General features: G+C 37.0%; 1 protein-coding gene across 57 annotated transcripts in view, besides 2 other annotated features; it reads right to left on the reverse strand.

Annotated features, from left to right (window-relative positions):
- MPDZ (multiple PDZ domain crumbs cell polarity complex component) overlaps positions 1–23,357 on the reverse strand; it is a 173,986-nt gene that overhangs the window by 139,360 nt on the left and 11,269 nt on the right. For 41 of the 57 annotated variants that reach the window (NM_001375425.1, NM_001375420.1, NM_001375419.1 and 38 more), the window contains 2 exons: positions 5,234–5,306; positions 2,569–2,735 (listed from right to left, as the gene is read on the reverse strand). In NM_001375425.1, the coding sequence (NP_001362354.1) occupies positions 2,569–2,735; positions 5,234–5,249 (183 nt within the window). In that variant the 5' untranslated portion in view covers positions 5,250–5,306. Of the gene's footprint in view, positions 1–2,568; positions 2,736–5,233; positions 5,307–8,547; positions 9,432–9,701; positions 9,857–13,585; positions 13,668–13,879; positions 13,982–20,151; positions 20,501–20,597; positions 20,802–23,357 lie in introns of those variants that run through there. The other 16 variants (XM_047424016.1, XM_047424046.1, XM_047424022.1 and 13 more) reach the window with 8 other exon arrangements.
- Positions 6,382–6,994: an enhancer, noted in NCBI's record as "OCT4-NANOG hESC enhancer chr9:13251447-13252059 (GRCh37/hg19 assembly coordinates)". NCBI's record gives its function as "activates a minimal SCP1, AML or CMV promoter by ChIP-STARR-seq in primed H9 embryonic stem cells {active_cell/tissue: H9 hESC(primed)}" and the evidence as "EXISTENCE:reporter gene assay evidence [ECO:0000049][PMID:30033119]".
- Positions 21,144–21,438: a silencer, noted in NCBI's record as "tiled region #14432; HepG2 Repressive non-DNase unmatched - State 24:Quies". NCBI's record gives its function as "represses a minimal TATA promoter and a strong SV40 promoter by Sharpr-MPRA in HepG2 cells {active_cell/tissue: HepG2}" and the evidence as "EXISTENCE:reporter gene assay evidence [ECO:0000049][PMID:27701403]".

Raw genomic sequence — 23,357 nt, forward strand, 5'->3', positions numbered from 1 at the left:
GGTCAGATTTGTGTAGCCACTGGTTTAAAAGAATAAATTTAATTCCTGAATTCATTAATTATTAAATTATAATTATTAATAAATCAGCAGTTGGTAAACTACATAGAAAATTTAAATCTGACATGACAAAACTCTAGAGTACTTATATTTAAATTTTAGAATAGAAACTAATATAAGTTTTTAAATTTTTACTCTAGTCATGTAAGAAAGAATCTGGTAAACAAATGGAATTGAATTAGTAAAGAATGGAGATTTAAAAAACGAATCACAGACACTGTAAAAAGTTATTAATGATTTTAAACAAAAGAAAATTCTTGGCATCTAGGGTTCAACTTTCTACCTTTGAAAAAAAAAAAAAAAGAAGAAGAAGATGTGAGACAGGCTCCAAAGAAAACTGAGTTCTAGTTCTACTCTACTCTTATAATCAAGTCACTTAACCTCTCTAAGCCACTGTAATCTACAGGGTATAAACTAGGTGTTTTCCTTGGTCCCTTTCAGTATTAGTTTTCCCCTGTATATGAACATGTGATCAAGGAGCCCAAAGTCCAAAAACATGTAAGACATGTCTCATAGAATTCACAGACCTCACAATTTATGTAGTCTTAAAATATATCAGTTGTCTATCAACAAAATAATAAGATAATGCTGTAGTTGGTCTCGGTCTCAACAAATTTCCAAGTAGGTTTCATCTGAATCACGTGGGACCCAAATAGTCTCAGAGCCCATATTCTACTTCCATATGGAAATGGTAAAACAAGCTTAATAGGCCGGCCTATTTGTCCCCTCCTTTCATGAGACACTGTATGCACAAATAACTATTCCTTTTACATTAAGACTGTCTACAACGGAAATTTCAAGTTATCTCACTGGGCCAGTGGTATATCCCAACAGACTTGCTAGCACTCTTTTTGTTTCAACTTTTCTTCTCATTCTAATCATGTTTTCACATAACATATTAAGAATAGAAGATATCTGTTCAACTTCTTTACACTCTGAAAAAGCAGATAATTTCCACAACATAATTATGCTTTTATTTGGGATACTGGTTTCTCCAAAAGCTTACCAATCCATTCTGAAAACCAGTACTGAAAATCAATCTTGCCAGGCGCGATGGCTCACTCCTGTAATCCCAGCACTTCGGGAGGCCAAGGCGGATAGATCATTTGAGGTCAGGAGACCAGCCTGGCCAACATGGTGAAACCCCATCTCTACTAAAAATACAAAAATTAGCTGGGCGTGGTGGCAGGCACCTATAATCCCAGCTAGTCAGGAGGCTGAGGCAGGAGAATCTCTTGAACCCAGGAGATAGAGGCTGCAGTGAGCAGAGATGGTGCCACTGCACTGCAACCTGAGTGGCAGAATGAGACTCTGTCTCAAAAAAATAAAAATAAATAAAATCAATCTTTTCAATAACTTGTAAAGGAGACAAACACAACTACATATAACAACAACACCTTAAATTCATGATCACGACTTTTAAAACCATTAAATAGACATTTACTATAGAAAGGTATTTGTGAAGATTCTTCTTGACTTAACTTTTTTTGCTACAAAATATTTAGATTAAGAAGTTATATGACATTAAACAAATTCATTCTCTCTTATTACTATTTGTTCTTTTGCATTAGCCACACTTTGGGTTTTTTTTAACTGGAGCTGTTCTTTCACTCAATTATGAAACTAATCTTCAAGTTTCATTTTTAACCTTATAAGGCAGAATATTTGCTAGCAAGTCATCTATAACCATTAAATTAATGCTAAAGACATTAGAATGAAAACTAACTTGGATTGAAGGCATAATGAGATTGACTTCAAACCTTGAAGATAACATTTTTTAAATATTTTTAAAGCATAGAAATGGTGATTAAATTAAGTAAGTTCAAAGAACATCTGACTTCAGTTTTCATTCTGTCATTGTGAAATGTTTCAATTTTAATATAAATGCTAGGACTTTTTAATGCTCATAATTTTTACAGAACAAAAAAGCACTGTGTTACATTTAGAAGTTCTAATGTTTATCACCATCTGAGCTGTCATGGAAGCAATTGCTACTTACACTCTTTAAAGAAGTGAGAATTGCAATTCCTCTAACTGATGACAATGTAATTATTCCTTTTACTGTCAAAATAGAGGTGATTTCCCTTCCTCATACACATGATTACACATGCAAATCCACGCTTATCTGAAATCTTGTAAGTATACTGAATGTCCGAATCTGAATGAGCAAGATCACATGAACAATGAGCCTCAGTGATGATGGAAACTAAGTCTACAGCCAACCATCCTAAACATATTTTTATCATCCGTTTTTCCTGTAGAAACTCATTCTTCAGCATCCACACAGCTTTCAACACAATGTCATATCATCTACAATATACAGCAACAACCATTACAAAAATAACTAGGAGGAAAAAAGCCACAGTGAATCTGAATGTCTCATTTGGAGGTTTAAATGACTTCATTAACTATTCATTAACACATAGAAAAATCAGCCTTTCAGAAAAACACAAGCCTTTCACAAGATCTATGCCATGTCGTGAATGCCTGCTTGGGTGAATGATGTCCTACCTGGTCTTTCAGCTGCTGTACAGAAGTCTGAAGGCTCAGAATCTGACTGAAGAGAGGGCTCTGCAGGACTGACTTCAGAAGGCTCAGTTTGTCTTCATTTGCTACATCCCCACGTTCTCGCAGCTTGGTTTGCAAGCGCTCTGCTGCATGCAGGGCCCGATTTTTGTCTATACCAAAGAGCAGCATTTGTCAATAACAGGATTCAAAGGACACATGTCCAGCCTAAGAGGACTCCATCTTGTAGAAATTCTAAAACTATTTCTATTGAGTGCATAAAATTGTCTCTTTTAAATTGAATAAAAAAACAGTAGGCCGGACCCAGTGGCTCATGCCTGTAATCCCAGCACTTTGGGAGACTGAGGCGGGCTGATCACTTGAGCTCAGGAGTTCGAGACCAGCCTGGCCAAAATGATGAAACCCCGTTTCTACTAAAAATACAAAAAATTAGCCGGGCATGGTGGTGCGCTCCTGTAACCCCAGCTACTCAGGAGGCTGAGGCAGGAGAATCACTTGAATCCAGGAGGCAGAGGTTGCAGTGAGCCGAGATTGGGCCACTGCACTCCAGCCTGGGTGACAGAGTGAGACTCCATCTCAAAAAAAAAAAAAAAAACCTGTAGAGAAAGTACACATTTTTTAATGGAGTACAAAAATACAAAACTGAATACTTTTTAATATTTTAAATCTTTCTCCAAAATTAAATAGCAAACAAAATAGCATATTTACATCTGCTTCAAACCAAATCAATTCAAATAATTATTGAACACTGTACAAATCAGACACAAAGTTGCTAAAAGTAAATATATTGAGTAACTATGTCCTACTAGTCCTAGTGTCTTACAAGCATACTTACGCCAGACAGTTTCCACCACAAATAATAGTTAAAAACCTTTCCCTGAAACACAAACATATACACTTACACACTCTTATATGTGAAGCCAAAATTTTTTTTTAATGAAGACTGTTCAGATGTATTACTTAGATTCATGATGGTAACAAGTATATCTATTTAAACGTATTTGCCATATCCCAGTAATGTTAAAAAGTGGGAATCAGTGGGGCGCGGTGGCTCATGTCTGTAATCCCCGCAGTTTGGGAGGCTGAGGCGGGTGGATTACTTGAGCTCAGGAGTTTGAGACCAGCCTGGCCAACATGGTAAAACCTCATCTCTACTAAAAAAAAATAAAAAAAATCAGATGGGTGTAGTGGCATATGCCTGTAATCTCAGCTACTCAGGAGGCTGAGGCAAGAAAATCCCTTGAACTCAAGAGGTGGAAGTTGCAGTGAGCCGAGATCATACCACTACACTCCAGCCTGGGCGACAGAGTGAGTGAGACTCCATCTCAAAAAAAAAAAAAAAAAAAAAAAAAAAAAAAAATTGGAATCATCACCAGAGATACTTTCTATAGCACCAAATCTGAAATTGCACAGAAAGAGGGTAATTAAAATATGAACTGATGTTGATCATGGGTTCACACACACACACACACACACACACACACACACAAACTTAAACAAACAATATTTACTCATATGCAGAATTTTAAAAATAAATGATAAAGATACACATGAGCATCTTATTCTGTTATATGTCCCATGTTATCACAGGATACAAATCTAATATTAATTTCCACATCAATTTTTAGAAAGTGTGCAACTCAGCACAAAACAGAATAAAGACTAGAAAACAACAGTTTAAATAATTCTATATTTGCCCTTTCCTTTCCACTTTCCTATTAAGAACTTTCCTATGTGGACTAGTAGTCTTTACAGCATGTGGGTTTAGTATAAAATGGGAAGTGAAGGAAATGTACATACGTACATTTTCATTACCAGCACAGTACCAGGAACAAAAGTCATCATAGTGATCCCACGACCACAAAAACAAGTCCTTCTCCCGTTACTGTCACTGACTGTCACTCTATCCCTCAAAACCCACCGACATCAAGGTATCTGCCATAATGATTAAGGTGCCAGAGTGAAATCCAAACACTTTCCATTTAGTCATACCCAAAGAGTTACCTGGAATAGGGTAAGGAACTAGAATGTCAGATAATTGCATGTATTGTACCATACCTGATATATCTACCTGTAAAATGGTTCTACAAACTAGTTTCTTTAAAACTAAAGAGCAGTGGGAAAAACAGTTTATTAACACATGAGTCTGGGAAATCTAGATATTTCAACCTAAATTATCTAATGTAGAAATTAAACTGCCTTAAAGCATAAGACTAAGCAACATTTTTCTCTTTATCAATTAATAGCAAGAGCTCAGTAGAACTTCACCTGCCAGAAGTAAAAGTAATATCTTCTTTCAGTATTAAAAATACTGCTAAACTTCCAGATGCTTTCCAGAAATAGATATTAACCAGAATTAGGCTCATAAATCAGAATTGGGCTTACATTAAGCTTTATTAAAACCCATAATTGGAAGAATATCTCATATGTTTTTAATTTTTGCTTATAAGTAACGTATTTTTACAACACTTTAGATGAAATTGTCCAAATACAGAAACATATTACCTTAATACAATGCTAGTAGGTAAAAACTTTTTAAATCTAGATACCATAGACAGAATCCTGCTATGTTAAACACAACATATGTCAAAAATCCCAATGGGAGGAGTTACAATTCTTATAAAAGTAGGCAGAAAAGAATAAGTCTTACCAATGGCTTCCAACATTTTTTTCAAAGTTCAGTGTTCTTCTCTGAAATGATTAACAGCAATTAAAATGGAACTCTGTGCAAAAAAGAAATAGAATGGTTATGTTTTATCAGAACTTTATATTCTAAAGCTATATACTCTGAAGAACACTTGATACAACTCTAATTCCTTTGACCATTAAAATCTTGTTGATACAACTTAAGATAGTTCGCTTTACAGACAATAAAGTAAACATTTTAGGACTTATTCAAAATTATCTTCTATGTATATATTTACCCATAATACTTGCATAAGGTAAAAGACATAAATTCTATTTTAAATAAGGTGGCAGAAGTTTCAAACATATTTCCATAAAGAGTTCTCAGTACAGACCACTATAATCTTGTATTCACTTACAGATCTTTAAGCACAGAATAAGGAGCTTACTTAACTCCACATAAGAAATTCTGTGGCAAAATCATAAAAAGTAGAAAATGTGATCCTGCCCTCAAAGGCTCACACTCCTAACTGAGGAGACAATACATGCATACCTATTAGAAATGAACTGTGGGCTGGGCATGGTGGCTCACATCTTTAATCCCAGCACTTCGGGAAGCCAAGGTGAGTGCGTCACTTGAGGTCAGGAGTTCGAGACCAGCCTGGCCAACATGGTGAAACCCCGTCTCTGCTACAAATACAAAAATTAGCTGGGTGTGGTTGTGCACACCTGTAATCCCAGCTACTCAGGATGCGGAGGGAGGGGAATCACTTGAACCCAGGAAGCGGTGGTTGCGGTGAGCCGAGATCATGCCACCGCACTCCAGCCTGGGCCACAGAACAAGACTCCATCTCAAAAAAAAAAAAAAAAAAAAAAAGGAAAAGAAAAGAAAAAAAGAAATGAATGTGACACTCAAGCAGTACCTGAACCACTGGAAGATAATACTTTAAATCACGGATGAAAAACTGAACAAAAGGGAGTATACAGTGTTAAATTTTTCAAAAGTTCTCAAAATACTCTCCTGACTATAATGTTCTCCTCTTTCCCATTCAAAGAAATCTTCTCAACTCCTTCAATCCACACATCTCATCTTTCTCTAACAATACTTAACTAGATTCTTTGAAATACTGGATACAGATCTGCATTGCTAACATCCACGTCACTAACCCATCTTGAGCCTTTGCTGCCGAACAAATCTGCACAGCTATCCCCATAGTTCCATCTCTCTTTTGCCTCACAGAAAACCCTGAATCATGAGGAAGACAGTCAGTCAGTCATTCCTTCAATAGAGAAAAGAAATCTACCACCACACGTTCTCATTTTTCATCTGGAAGCAAAATGGAATTTCTCTTAGAAAGAACAAGTCGCCTCCTGTTACCTCTTTAAGACAAAATTCATTTGGCAAAAAGGGAAGTATGTGATGTAGATGAGCAGATCTACAGAGCATCAATGTCTGCAATTAGCTCTGTGTGATAAGAGAGAACAGTACGTATTGATTTGCCTTATCCCAATGTAGAATATACTATTTGAAACATCAACTCCATTTCAAATGTTAAATTGTTTAACTACTGGCACTTGTTTTAAAAAGTGCCTTTGTGTCAAGAAAAGAGGACACTGGCTCTGACCTGGAATTGAAACTTAAACAGAAGTGTGGCCTTGAGCAAGGGACCTATCATCTCAACCTCAGTTTCTTTTAAAACACACTTACTCATTGGGTATATTTTGAAAAATGAGATAAAGTATGCCAATTTCCAGCTCATAGCATAACTTGTAACTATGATATATTTATTCAGGATTAATGTCCAGTCAGTATATTCCATATAGATAGGCATTCCAATGCCGAGCATTGCATTATTTCATGAGGCCTAATATAGGGAAATATTAACAAATAAATTGGTGATTTATTTACTCTTATTTACAAGGAGAATATGATACTCCTTCACAAAACAGCCTACTATTAGCCAACCCCCCTCAAAAACAATTAACTTCTGGCAATTAAAACACATAAATAGGCCGGGCGCGGTGGCTCATGCCTGTAATCCCAGCACTTTGGGAGGCCGAGGTGGGCGGATCACGAGGTCAGGAGATCCAGACCATCCTGGCCAACATGGTGAAACCCTGTCTCTACTAAAAATACAAAAATTAGCTGGGTGTGGTGGAACCAGCCTATAATCCCAGCTACTCAGGAGTCTGAGACAGGAGAATCACTTGAACCAGGGAGGCGGAGGTTGCAGTGAGCCAAGATCGCGCCACAGCATTCCAGCCTGGCAACAGAGTGAGACTCTGTCCCCCGCAAAAAAAAAAAAAAAAATCGGGCTGGGCATGGTGGCTCATGCCTGTAATCCCAGCAAATAACTTGAGCTCAGGAGTTCGAGACCAGCCTGGCCAACATGGTGATACCCCATCTCTATCAAAAATACAAAAATTAGCTGGGCGTGGTGCATGTGCCTGTCGTCCCAGCTGCTCCAAGAGGCTGAGGCAGGAGAATTGCCTGAATAAAGATGCCCCAATATAAGGAAGCCCAGGGCTACAAAAGTATGTTTAATCACCCAGGAGGAAGCATGATAGCAATAAAAAAAAGCATGGACTAGAGAGTCTGATAACCTGAATTTAAATTTCAACTAGCTATACGCCCTTGTTAAGTCACTTATCTTTTCTGAATCTGAATCTCTATTTATAAATGAATGATGTTTATAACGTTTTGAAAGGATAAAATTATACATGTGTTTGGTATGCACATGAAAAAAATTCTAAAGATAGACAGTGTTCCTGACATACATGGGAGGTAGACCTCGGATTTAGAAGCTCACTGATTTATGAGAAGTCTGCAGAGAAAGTACAGCGTAGGCAGTTCCTAATTGAGAAAAACACTGTTGTCCAGAAGTTCACCTACAAGTCAGTTATGTTAAAACAGAATTACTTTTTCTTCCCCCAAAAAATACACAAAGGTTAAAAAAAAAAAAAGCCCCCAGATGAGAGAGCTCTACTCTTTTGTATTTCAATGACTTTAAAATTACAGTTTCAGAGTTTCTTTTCTATGCTTGGATGTCCCTAAAATAAATGCATAGCTTTTTTTGAGATTTTTCAGGGGATTTCACCATTAGCAACCATGACAAAAAAATAAGAATTTTTAAAAATTGTTCCTTTCTGTGCCTGATACTCCTGTACTGAGGATTCAGTTCTAATTATAAACAAACTCATCTGTAATCACAAAATTTTTTAGATAGAGTCCATTCCCTTCAAATTGCAGCCACGAATTCCTCTTGTCACCTTTTCACCACACTACCATTTCCTTTCCCTTTTTGCCCATCTAAACACCATATGGAAACTTAAGGATACCTGAGTGATAACAGTGGGTCATGGCCAACTGGCATGACTTAAAGAAGATCCAACATGTCAGAAGAATGGCAAGTTCTGAGGAATTTTCTTTCTTTTTTTCTGGGCAATTCATGCTAAGCAGTGACAATAATGAATCAGAGAGGCAGAAAAGAGATGAGCTATGGATATGGTAAGAAGGAGTTCAGCACTAATGCTGAAGCAGAAGCAGCAATGATAACAGCAAACACACAGCACCTATCACATGCTAGGTACTATTCAAATCATGCTTCCAATTAAGTCCTTTAATACTTACACAATCCACTCACTTTATAACAAGGAAAATGAGGTACAGACAGATTAAGTAACTTGTCTAAGGCCACATCGCTAGTAAGTGATGGAGCCAGGTTCTTAACACAAGCCATCTAGCTCCAGAGTCCACAATTTAATTTCTACAATATGCTGCCTCTAGAAAGCAAGATTTAACTTCCCTGTTTCCAAGTTCAAATAGACCATGCTCTACATAAAGTGAAACCAAAGGAAGAAATAGAGACCCAAAATGAATAAAGTCTGAAATGGAATAGACTGTTGTAGATAGTCAAATTAGCCAACTGTTCAGACAAGGTATGAAGAAGTCAGAATTATGTATATTAGAAACCACCGGTCGGTCTATCAAAGAAAGATCAGGAATATTCGCCATTTATGTAATGTTAATGTCCATACATCTTTAAACAAATCACTTTTAAAATCCAAGATTTTAATAAAAACCCTTAAGAAGCCTCTTTAAATAGTTATTCAAAGTACATTCAAAAACATTGCTTTTACATTTCAAGGTACTAAATCCCTCAACACAAAGAGAATTAAGAATACACAGTATATTGTTGTAATTGTTCAATTTTATTATTAGTTGTTGTTAATCTCTTATTGAGCTTAATTTGTAAATTAAACTTTATCATAGGTATGTATTTATAAAAATAAAAAATGGAAAAAAAACATGGTACAAGCATATCTGAGATATTGCAGGATCAGTTCCAGACCACTGCAATAAAGTGAATCTCTCAACAAAAGGGGTCACATGAATTTTTTCATTTCTCAGTGCGTACAAAAGTCATGTTTACACTACACTGTAGTCTATTAAATGTGCAGTAGCATTATGTCTAGGAAAACAATCTATACACCTTTATTAAAAAAGTTTACTGTCAAAAAATGCTAGTGATCATCTGAGCCTTTGGTGAGTCACAGTCTTTGAGCTGGTGGAGGGTCTTGCCTTTGTGTTGATGGCTGCTGACTGACGGGTGGTGGTTGCTGAAGGCTGTGGTCACTGTAACAATTTCTGAAAATAAGACAACAATGAGCTTTGCCACATTGATTGATTCTTCCTTTCATGAAAGATTTCTCTGAAGCATGTGATGCTGTTTGACAGCATTTTACCCACAATAGAACCTCTCAAATCCTGCTCCTACTTTATCAACTAAGGTTATGTAATAGCCTCAACCCTTTGTTTTCATTTCAACGATGTTCACATCTTCACCAGGCATACATTTCATCTCAAGAAACCACTTTCTTTACTCATCCATAAAAAGCAACTCCTCATTCATTCAAACTTTATCATGAAAGTGCAGCAATTCAGTCACATCTTCAGACTCCATTTGAAATTCTAGTTCTCTTGCTATTTGTAACGCATCTTCAGTGACTTCTTCCACTGAAGTCTTGAACCCTCAGTGTTATTCATAAGAGTTTCAGAATCAACTTCTTCCAAAGTCCTGGTAATGTTGATATTTTGCCTTCCTCCCATGAATTACAAATATCTTAATGGCATTTAAAGTAGTGAATCCTTTCCAAAAGGTTTTCCATTTACTTTGCCCTAATGTAGCAGAGGAATCATTAAGTACAGAAGCTATAACTTTACAAAATGTACTTTTTCAATAATAAGACTTGAAAGTCAAAATTACTCTGTGGTCCAGGGGCTGCAGAATGGATGTTGTGTTAGCGACATGAAAACAACATTCATCTCTCTTGATGAAACTCTATCAGAGCTCTTGGATAACCAGATGCCTTGTCAATGAGCAGTAATATATTTTATAAGAACCTTTTTCTGAGCAGTAGGTCTCAACAGCGGGCTTAAAACATTCAGTAAACCATGCTATAAACCGATGTGCTGTTATCCAGTCTTTCTTTTTCCATTTACAGAGAACGCAGGCATAGCAGATTTAGAATAACCCTTAAGGGCCCTAAAAATTTTTGAAATGGTAAATAAGCACTGGCTTCAATTTGACATCACCATCTGCATTAGCTCTTAATGAGAGAGCCTCTTTAAAGCTTTGAAGCCAGACATTGACTTCTCCTAACTACTTAAGTCCCTGATAGCCTCTTCTTTCAATATAATGCTGTTTTATCTACATTAAAAATCTGTTGTTTAGTGCAGCCACCTTCATTAATGATCTTAGCTAGATCTTCTGGATAGCTTTCTGAAGGCTCTACATGAGCACTTGCTGCTTCACCTTGCACTTTTATGTCATACAGATGGCTTCTTTCATTAAACCTCATGAACCAACCTCTGCTAGCTTCCAACATTTTTTCTGCAGCTCCGTCACCTCTCTCAGCCTTCACAGAATTGAAGAGAGTTAGGGTTTTGCTCTGTATTAGGCTTTGGCGTAAGGGAATGTTGTGGCTGATTTGATCTTCTATCCAGACCACTAAAACTTTCTCCATATCAACAATAAGGCTGTTTTGCTTTACATGCAGTCACTGGAGAAGCTATTTTAATCCTTCAAGACCTTTTCCTTTGCATTCACAACTTGGCTGTTTGGCACAACACACTTAGCTTTCAGCCTATCTCTACTTTCAACATGCCTTCTTCACTAAACTTAATTATTTCTAGCTTTTGGTTTAAAGTGAGAGGCATGCAACTCTTCCTTTCACTTAAACACTTAGAGGCTATTGCAGGGTTATTAAATAGCCTAATTTCAATACTGTTCTGTGTCAGGGAATAGAGAGGCCTCAGAAGAGGGAAAAAGAATGCGAACGGCCCGTTGATGGAGCAGTTGGAACATGTGCAACATTTATTAGGTTCACCATCTTAAATGTGCAGGGCTGTAGCACCCCAAAATAATTAAAATGGTAACATCAAAGATTACTGATCACAGATCACTGTAACAGACATAATAATAATAAAGGGCATGAAATATTATAAGAATTAACAAAACGTGACACACAGACACAAAGTAAGCATGTGCTGTTGGAAAAAAATGGCACCAATAGACTTGCTTGACACAGAGTTGCCATAAACCATCAATTTATTTAAAAAACATGCAATATCTGCAAAGCACAATAAGACAAAATTCAATAAAACAACATAGACCTGTATATATGGGGTAAGGTCCTATGTTTGGTTTCAGGCATCTACTGGGGGTCTTGGAATGTATCCCCCATGTTCCAAGGCGTGGGACAACTGTATTCAAATCTGGTACAGAAAAAATACCAGTTTCCCTCTAGCTGCTGTTCATGTATCCTGCTAGTGGCCATATCACTATTTGGTTATAACTGAACCTAAAATCTGTTCCAATAGGCTTAGCTCTCAGAACCATAAGACATACCAATAACAGCTCAATGAATTCAATATCTGTTAGGCACCAGAGTGCTAGGCAAGTGCAGTTTATACACGTTCCATCATGCATGTGGGGACTCTGACCATCTTGCTCCCCACAATAGCCTCCCGTGCCTGACACATTATTCCAGATAACACAACAGAGAAAAGGACAGGTCAAGGTCTTACTCAAGGTCAAACAGCTAGTAAATGGGAGAACTTGGAATTGAACCCTACTGTCCCTTATTTTAAAGCCCAAACTCTATCACACTACCCATATTTTCCAAACTGTCTCACAAAAATCACACGGTGAAAATATATTGTCAAATTTATAAAAAAGAAGATACAGAACAAGGTATTAAGTTGCTACACTTTGTACAGAAGAAGAGGAGGGTAATTGCTTAGGTAAGTAAAAATCGATTGGTGTATGTTTATAGAAGCATAGACTATTCTGCAACTTTTTCAAAGACAATGATAGTGGGATATGGCAGGGCTGAAGGACACTGAGATAATCTTACTTTGCACTGCATTACTTTTGTGTTTATCAAATTTTATACCTTAATAGAGGGTTGCCAGATTTATCAACTAAAAATACAGGATGCTAGTTAAATTTGAATTTCAGGTAAATGAATAATTTTTTAGTGTATGTCCCATGCCACACTTGGGACATATTTATACTAAAATCCAATTTTATCTGAAATTCAAACTTAACTTGGACATCTGTTATTTTATCTAACAATCCTACTATGTACATGCTAGCTTAGAAATAACAACATATAAAATCATTTTAGCTTTCACGCTTCCTGTAAAACTTTAATATAATGAGACAGCTGCCTAATCCTTAATAAATCTCAAAGATTTTACCTGTGACCATATGATTCTCCAACAACTTGTTGGTAACACTAGTGTCAGAAGGGGATAAAAATAAAACAGAATATTTGGTATTATTTAGAAATAGGAACTGATTAACTGAGTAATCATTTTACATTTCAACAAGTTGTAATGGTAACATGTAGGCACAGCTTTTACGAAGTAGAGAATCAGCGTTTGAAACATAACACAAACCATTCTGCTCAATGCAGATTATATGGCAACTAACAAGTGAAAATATGTTTTAGGCTAAAAATAACTCTATGAAGAGAAACTGCCCAAATGCATACAATTTTCTACTTATCTTAAACAATTCTGACTGAAAAAGGAATACGACATTAAAAGGGCTTGTTTCAATGGCTTGCAGCTTGTCAGAGTTGCTCAGCATCTGTTTTTGCATTTAAATTTACCATTTCTATCATTCATAGTTGCCTCAGCAGTACCTGAAGTAAGCAGACGAAGGCACAGTTGTAGTCAATTGCAAGTAGTTTTTCATAAATCCAATTGTCCATAACAGCAATATTTATACTTTCAGTCATAATTCCTACTTTTGGGTAACATTACTGAACTACAGCTCTAAAAGTATAGAAATGTCACAGTACCCACCAAATCATGTAGTCATCCAACAGAAATCACTCAGTCTTTTCTTAGCATCTGTTCTTCTGAACTTCTCCCTCATTTTTATAGGCTTTGATCAAAAAAGCATTCATGAATACAATTTTTATTTTCAAGTAGACATTTATAAATCTTCCTAAATTTATTCAATGAAAATAAGATTAATTCAATTTTGCCCACCAAAATGAAAGAAAATCAAGTATTAAAGAACATTAACTTCACAACATACTTCAAATACTGATTAATATTCTTGTTCTTTCTTTATGAAACTGCCAGATAAATTACCTGAAATGGAAATGCTGTAGTCCCAGCTACTGGGGAGACCGAGGCAGGAGAATCGCTTGAACCCAGGAGGCAGAGGCTCAATACAGCTCAATCCAATTTTATCTGAAATTCAAACTTAATTTGGACATCTGTTATTTTATCTAACAATCCTACTATGTACATGCTAGCTTAGAAATAACAACATACAAAATCATTTTAGCTTTCACGCTTCCTGTGAAACTTTAATATAATGAGAGAGCTGCCTAATCCAGCCTCCGCTGGATACATTAGGCTTCCTAATATAGCCTCCGCCTCCTGGGTTCAAGCGATTCTCCTGCCTCAGTCTCCCCAGTAGCCTGAGATCGAGCCACCACACTCCAGCCTGGGCAACAGAGCAAGAGTCTGTCTCGGAAAACAAAAAGAAAAGAAAAGAAAATGCAGGGAAGGTCAAGGGAGTAGAAAAGGACTCAAATTCTGTCATTCACTGATTCTGCAAATACACATGGGGCACTTACATGACTAGCATGTTGTCTAGTAGCAGCATTGGAGAAATGATGATACAACCTGGGAACTCACGTACAAGTGAATGAAAGGAAAAGAAATGAACAATTAAAATACAAGAACACAAAGGAGGGTCACCCAAGCTTAACTGAGAAGTCAGGGAAACTTCCTGGAGTCACAGACCCCTGCACAGAGTCTTAAAGAATAGGTGGGGGAGAAGGTCTGATGAAAGAGCTCCCCACATAAATGCAAGAGTGCATGGTACCTTCTGAGCACTGCATGTAGTTTCTTATATAGTAACCTGGATTGGGGCTGAGGAAAAAGGAGAGACGGAGAAGATGAGCCTGGAGATGTGAGTAAAGGCTGAATTACTGAGGGTCCTCCATACTACTCTTAAAAAGTTTAGATTTGTTTTTTGTTTTGTTTGAGATGGAGTCTCACTTTGTCACTCAGGCTGGAGTACAGTGGCACAATCTCGGCTCACTGCAACCTCCGCCTCCCAGGTTCAAGCTATTCTCGTGCCTCAGCCTCCTGAGTAGCTGAGATTACAGGCACCTGCCACCACGCCCGGCTAATTTTTTTTTTTTTGTAATTTTAGTAGAGACACAGTTTTGCCATGTTGGTCAGGCTGGTCTTGAACTCCTGACCTCAAGTGATCCACCCACCTAGGCCTCCCAAAGAGCTGGGATTATAGGTGTGGCCACTGCACCCAGCCATTAAAGAGTTTAGATTTAATTAGAAGTTTATTTTGGCAAAGTGATCTTTAGAAAGATCACTCTGGCAATGGTATGGAGGACATACAAAAATCAAGAGAAGCTATGGATAAAGAAGCCAGGTAAGAGGCATTTTCAAAACTAGAGAAGAAAAGGAAAATAAAGGAAAATGGGAGCTAGATTAAGATTAGTTAAGAGATGTAAGTACTGTGACATGGTAATATGGAGGTAAGGAAGATGGGTTTAGGATAAATCCCACCTTTCCGGGCTTTGGTTACTGATGGATGGTAATACTACAAGGAACATGTCAGTGTTGTGACTATTCTAGAAATGTCTGCCCTAATAGAGTTTGAATAGCTGAGTATAGTACCTTACGATGTTGCTATGGAATGAACTGTGTTGCCCAAAATTCCTATGTTGAAGCCCTAACTCCAGTGTGACTGATTTTGGAAACAGGTCTTTTAGGAAACAGTTAACGTTAAATGAGGATATAAGGGTGGGGTTCTGATCCAATAGAATTGGTGGTCTTCTAGAAAGAGGAAGAGAGGAAAATCTGTCTCACTGTCTATGTGCAAGCACTGAGGAAAGGCCACATGAGCACACAAGAAGGTAGCCACCTGCGAGCCACAGACAAAACCCTCATCAGAAGCAGAACCCTACCAGACCTTGATCTTAGACCTTTCAACCTCCAATACCATGAAAATAAATTTCTATGGTTTACACCTTTCTAAACAATTTGTTATGGCAGCCCAAGCTGACAAATACAGAATTCAACCATTCCGCAGGCCCTCCTCCAAGGACTATGCTATCATGTACTATGCTTCGCCCCTTTCTTCCAACCATAACCAAGGGAACCAGGGCTGGGCTCCCTAATTCAAGGGAAGCCAATCTAAGTGCTGACATGAAAAACATGAATGGACTACAGTGTCTCTTAAGAACTTAAGAAATATTGAGAGAATAAGTCAATTAATGGTAGAACAAGAGTTGAGAAGATAGAAGGTGGCTGAGTAAGGGATGAAGAAGCTAAAATGGGGTACACACAAGCCAGAGTTATGAGACAGCAAAAACAAGTCAGTTGATAGAGACAGAATACAGCCGACATTAAGAGAGGCAGGCATTCCTTGGGAGATGCAACACAGCCAATAAGAGGAAAATAGAGTAACTGGTCCCTACAGATGCACAATCACTGATCTCCATTTTTACAATGAACTCCATTTTGCCAGAGGTATGTTGTATGAAGCTCTGTTTGCTCCATTTAAACACACCTATTTGTTCAAACACAGTCTGCTTTGGTATGGTACCATATCATTACATCCAAAAAAAAAACCCTCTCAAATACCCTTGCTTACGAAATACCCTTGTTCCTTTATTTCATTTGTACACTGTACTTCTAATAAACATTTGAGGGAGCAAAGACAATTTTAGTAGGACCACTAAATAATTAATAATCCTACAGGAGAGATAGTTACATCAGAAAAACAAAGGGCAGGGAAGCTCCTACACTTGATGGGTGAATATAACACTATAAAGTTCTGTTTTGCTCAGAGCCTGAGAAAAGCCATAAGCTGCCACCAAATAAAACATAAATCCACTGTTAAAACAAAGGTAACTGACAGAGTATGGTGGCTCATACCTGTAAGCCCAGCATTTTGAGAAGCCAAGGTGAGAGGATCACTTTTAGCCAGGAGCTCAAAACCAGCCTGGCCAACAAAGTGAGACCTGTCTCTACAAAAAAAAAAAAAAAAAAATTGTTAAAATTAGCCAGGCGTAGAGGCACATGCATGTAGTCCCAGCTACTTGGGAGGCTAAGGTGAGAAGATTATCTGAGCCCAGGAGATTGAGGCTATAGTGAGCTATCATCACGCCACTGAACTCCAGCCTGGGCAACAGAACAAGACCCTGTTCCTAGAAAATGAAAATTAAAAATTAAAAAAAAAAGGAATGTGAGCTCTGACAAATTTTCATTATATAAATGAAATCTTAGTAACTGTGAACAATATTTATAAATAGTAAAAATATTTCTGACCAAAAATCTGCATTCAGGCCAGCCACAGTGGCTGATGCCTGTAATCCCAGCACTTTGGGAGGGCAAGACTGGTGGATCGCTTGAGCCCAGTAGTTTGAGACCACCCTGGGCAACATAACAAAAAATAAAAAAAAAATTAGCCAGGAGTGGTGGTACACACCTGTAGTCCCTGCTATTCAGGAGGCTGAAGTGGGAGGATCACCCGAGCTCAGGTGGTAGAGGCTGCAGTGACATGTAATCGCACCACTGCACTTCAGTCTGGGCCGACAGAGAAAGACCCTGTCTCAAAAAAATAATAATAAAAATTAAAAAGAGTTCTCTTCATAGGAGGATAGAAATGTTCTTTCTTCAAACTCTACTAGAAAAATTCAGCCAAGTATACACGTTAAAACTTTAATGTACCACTAAAAAAACAGAAATAGAGTCTATATAATATATACACCAAGATGAAAAAAAGATGAACAAAAAATACTCTAGCAATCTAAAAGAGGTTAGGAATGAGAAAAAAAGGAAAAAGGAGAAGCCATAGTAAACAAAAAACACAAAACAAGGGCAACAAAATAAATTCAGATATCCATATTCACAATAAACACAAGTGGGTTAGACTCATTTTTTAAAGAACAGACTCAGAGTCCAAATCTCAATAATGAAATGGAGATTTACAGAATAAGTAGTTTATTTATATTTTTTAAATATAAAAAATAGTATATGGGCCACATAAAAATATGTATATACATACTTTCATCGTATTCAACAATGGATTAAAAGGACACATTCTAAAATGACAGCAGTTAGGAGTGGACAAATGGAAGGAGTAGCCGCATACGGGGGGACTCAATGGGGGAATTTAGCTTTCTCTTTTTTTTGTGTAAGGAAACTGTATTTTTATAATGGTTTTAAATTATGCATGTAAAAAGCAGCTGGGTTGAAATATTTATGCATAAAATGATATAATGTCCACAATTTGCTTCAAAAACTTCCAGGAAAGGGACAAGGGAAATGTCTGAGACAAGAGAAGAAACAAGACTGACCATGAACTAGTAGTTGTTAAAACAGAATGATGGATATATGAGGATTCACTGCATTTATGTACATTTGAAATTTTTCATAATAACTATTACAAAAATAAGGCAGCCGATATGTGAAAATGTTAACAATATCTAGTTTTAGAGGCTAGGACTAGAGATGATTAGTGCAATATTTTTCAAATCCTCCTTGTCCTTGTTTGGCAAAAAAAAAAAAAAAAAGATTTCGCCTAAAACTATAATACTAACTTATTCGGGAAAAAATAATGTTAACATTGGTAAATTCTCCCAGAACAATAATTTATTCAGCTAGACTACCTAATTCCAGCAAAACTAAAGGAAATATTATGAAAACATTTCTTCAAAATATATCTCATAAAGAATCATTTTCAGTTTTACTATTAAAAACGAAGCTTTATTCTCATTTTCTGATGCTACTCTGCTTCTAATTTTACCAAGCTGTTTGAGATACAGGCCTTAGAAGCAGATACTTATGGCCCTGGATTAGTCAACTTCTCATCAGAGAGCAGGAGGGCAGGAAGTGATGAACAACTATTGCTGTTTTACTTTGAACATACGTTCAAAAACCCCACCTTTGTGAATTATGGGGGATCCCAAGACAGTATAAATATAAACCTGTTTCAGTTTAAATAAAACTTATATATCTTCTATGAATATTCAAATGACAATAAAATGAACAGTTAGTCACACAATATATATAAGCTAATACTAAATTATGGAAAAGAGGCATGTTAATCCACAATTATATAAACATACACAGATCAAAATCACTACATTGACCAAGAATCCACATACTTTAAGAAAGTTTGGTGAAAATAGTATAGTATCATACCTTTTCCTATTAATTTTCTAATGGAGGGAGTGAAGCCTACTGAAAATGAAAATATATATAATATGGAAATTGAAGTATTTTATTACTTACAAGTATTCTTATATAACAAATGTATTTATACCAAAAAACATGTTCATTACATTTGCTTTGGCTTTTGAAAGTTATTTTTATTTTTAAGATGGTTGGTCTGAGGCAAAATGATCTTTCAAACAGTATATACATTCTTACTTTACCTGCAGATTTCCTAAAACACATAGATACACAACTTTTATAAAGAATATTAGCAGATTCATATCCACTTCCAGAATTATATATATTTTATGATACTTTGAGTTAAATACCCTTATTTACTGCTTACGCTCGACTATAAAGTTAATTTTAAAGTTGAAAGGAGCGTCAAAAAACATATAGGTCAGAGAGAAGCTAAAGCTCACTGAGGTTTGATTACATAACAAATCAGTGGTGTGTCTGGGATCAGAACCCTGGACTGCTGGACTAACTCAACCGACCCTCTGAAAGGTCTGACTTTCCTTTTCTAAAAATGTTTAAACCAATCGTTTATAGCCCATTGCATTATATTTATTTCCTTCCCCATTAACCCTCACCCATAATTTAAAAAAAAAAAAAAAAAGAGTCCAAAATACACATTAGGGAACTATGGATTCTAACACCTTCTCTCTGAACATCCATTTTACATACTTTTCATTCATAATGTTCCTTAATGTATCTCTATTGGACAGGGGACCCTCCCCTCAAACTGTTAACTCACACCAAACATGGTGACTGAGGGGAAAGATTTAAGTTCTGAGAATTAAGATTTGGCCTCTTCTGTTCTCTCACTCCTTAGTTAGACCCAAAGGAATGCAGGTTGTTGGGCAGATTGCCCCTATTTGTACCACATTTTCAGTGTTAAGGGCCAAGACACAAGATGCCAGGCATATTTCTTGCATAGAACCAGGCAGGGGGATTCTTCCAAGAGCTGCCCTTGCAGGTGAACACAACAATGTGTCAATGCCAAACTCCAGAGGCTGCCCATAAAGCACTCACTGTAGCCACATTATTTTCTTGGGGGAAATCTAAAACATGCAGAAGACTTAACTTTGTGCCACAGAATTCTTCAGTGCAGTTCCTACACTGGCAACAAATTCTCCAGGGAAATTACTTCAGGCTCTTACCTCCTGCTCTTTTGCCTGCCTGGAATGAGGCAATTCAATGAGCCCAGGTCGACTGTGTCCTGGGCAGGTCGACCGTGCATTTGGGCTCTCACCTGTCATCCCAGCACTTTGGGACGCTGAGGCGGTCAGATCACCTGAGGTCGGGAGTTCAAGAAAAGCCTGACCAATATGGAGAAATCCAGTCTCTACTAACAATACAAAATTAGCCAGGTGTGGTGGCGCATGCCTGTAATCCCAACTACTGGGGAGGCTGAGGCAGCAGAATCACTTGAACCTGGAAGGCAGAGGCTGCGGTAAGCCGAGATTGCACCATTGCACTCCAGCCCAGGCAACAAGAGCGAAACTCCATCTCAAAAAGAAAAGAAGAAAAGAAAGCATTTGGTACTCAAAAGCATACCCATGGGACCCAGAAATATAGTTGGCAGCTGGTCTCTGTTAGAACCTACCAACTGCTGTCGGAGGTGATAGTACAAAACATGTCTGCCATTTCTCAGCTGCCCTCTCAGGGACAGGATTTTCATTGACTTTGTGAGATCTCGATGACACTGGGGCAGAACAATAGGTGGCTTGTCAGTTGTGACTGAGTGGCTCCTCAGGGGAAAGTGTTAAAGGATGGAGACGATATTTCCAATACAGACAAAACTGTGGAACTAGGAGGTAGGAGAGAAGACCATAGTATTACAATCATGCTGCTTCAACATACCTCCCCATCCAACTTCAGGTTTATATATTCTCCCAAGATCATTTTCTAGGACTTTCCCAACTCTTAAAATAACTCTACTTCCACAATTTCTCTATTACCATTTCAAATGGCTTCTCCCGTCCTGGAATCTTTTCTACAAAAATTATGAAGAGTGTTGTATATTGCATAAACTCCTTAGGTATCACTGAGCTATAAGTACTATACATAATTAGATATTTTTATCCTTCCCCAACCATCAGCGCCTCCTAAATTCAGTCAGTGGCTTTCATGATTTCCCTTTGCTGAATGTGGACAGGAACAAAGTTTACAAACTTCACTCAGGAAAGAGCAGGCTCAAATTTCTCATCGGAAGTCCTCTGGGAAGAAAACAGCATTTTGGAATAATATTTAATGTGGTTGTTTTTCTCTCCTGTACTGTGCTTGTGGTGACTAGTGGTTTGACTCCTGTTGGTTTAGTTCCAACTCTGCACGGAGAAGTACCACAGATGCATGTACTGAGAAGGGCTTGTGAACAATCACATTCTCTTTCTCCTTCTCTTGGCCCATTCTTTGCAATACTTTTGGTGGAGTATTTAGCAATTCAGAACCCTTAAATTCAGCAGACAGAAGAAATCAACAATTTTTTTTCAATTATCAATCTTAATTATTTGAAGATGTAAGAAAATTTTGTAAGCTTTTACTCTTTCCAAACACATAACTTGTTAAGACCACATTTAATAGATTCAGTAGAGAGTCAAAGAAAATACTATAACTTTTCCAAGGCTCCCTAACTCAGACCTTTTATTAAGCAATCATATTTCTTCAGCCATTATTATGTGGGGTACTGAAAAGTCTATATAATGAAATGTCAATAACTATCTGAATAGTTTCATGCAAAAGTAATCTCATTCAGCTACTCAAGGATTTGGGGGCAGAGAAAGAGAAGGAGGAGGAAGGAATTAAGAAGGACAAAGGCTTAAAAGCCTTAATTAGAGGGATGTCTACCCTGACTAGAGTCGCTAAGTAACAAACTAACTTTCCATATCATTTCGCTGATGTAAAAAGGCAACTTTATTCCTCAGGAATATACCCACCACCAAATACTCCAAGAGGCAAAACTTTCCAAATATATATTCATCACTGGAATGTCTAAAATGTAGGCTTGGTTGCAATACACAATTTAAAGCAACAATCTATTATTTGGGGTTCTTAAAAATGCTATTCAATAACAACTAATAATAAAATTGCATTTAAGAATTGACTGCTATCGCATGTTATAATAATGACTTTCCCAGAAAATAAAATAGGCTACATAAGTAAATTTTTTAGGCAATGAAATTGGCGTCAGTTTTACTGTTTGAAATGAAACCATTTGTTTATAATAGCTTCCAAATATCCCTGTTTTCTTAAACAAAACCTATGTCCTTTACAAATATGCATTTCCTTTAATCCTACCAAGAGCTCCATACTTTATACCCTCATTTTCAGACAAGAAAATTGAGGTTCAGAAAGATAGTGTTTTCTCCTTCATGAAGCTTTTAAGTAATAGAGCTGTCTTACCTATGCTGTAAAGTACAGAGCTTTATGATATCTTCTTTTCCATTGCTGAAAATTATGTGTACTTTTTACACTACTCAGGATCCCAAGACACACCCCATAGTACTTCCAAGAAGCAGAAATGAATTTGAAAATTGCAAACTACAAAATTCAGCTTATTCAAAGTAATGACACTTAAAAGTATCAATTTATCTGAGAAAAGACATGGAGAAGAATGTGTTTGATGTATGGCAAGACACAAGTAACAGGGGAGGAAAGGAAGAAGAAATAATTGAGGAAGCTGAAAGGGAGAAGGGATGGAAAGATGGAATGGCACTGAGATGATTTGGAAAACTCTCAGAAAATTCCTTAGCATTCACCAGGCTAACAGAATATAGAGCAAAGTGGTGCTGACTGAGGTTACAGACGCACAGGAAGAACTGTCATTTCTCCCACCAAAGTGAAATCTGATCTCAAAGGAAGAACTTCAGCTCCCTTTTCCTTCACGCACAAAGTAGCAAAACACAGAGTCATTAAGTCTGAGTCACTTTCCTTGTGACTCAGTTGTCAAAATCCTGTAAGATAAGGTATTCAAAAGTGTTTGGAAATGGGAAGAAGCATGGAAGCATTAGACATTTATTATTAGCAACAGTATTAGCATCAGAATGGCTAATTAATCATGTTTCAATTTTAAAAAATGAACAGCAAAAGGAAAATTATATATATATATATATACACACATAGAGAGAGAGAGATCTAGATATACAGATGGTACTTATAATACATCCCAAAAAACCACACCAATTCATCAAGTATTAAGTGAGCACTTACATATTCCTAGCCATGTGTATAGGAAGATTTAGCATGTGTATAGAAAGATTTAGCATGAAGGTACTTGCATAGGATCCTTCAATTCTTATTCAAATAAATTTTTTATATCTAATTTTGTATTTATAATTTTCTATTATTTTTCAGACAACCACCCCAA

This window comes from Homo sapiens, chromosome 9 (assembly GCF_000001405.40).
Source record: "Homo sapiens chromosome 9, GRCh38.p14 Primary Assembly".
NCBI classification, from domain to species: Eukaryota; Metazoa; Chordata; class Mammalia; order Primates; family Hominidae; genus Homo; species Homo sapiens.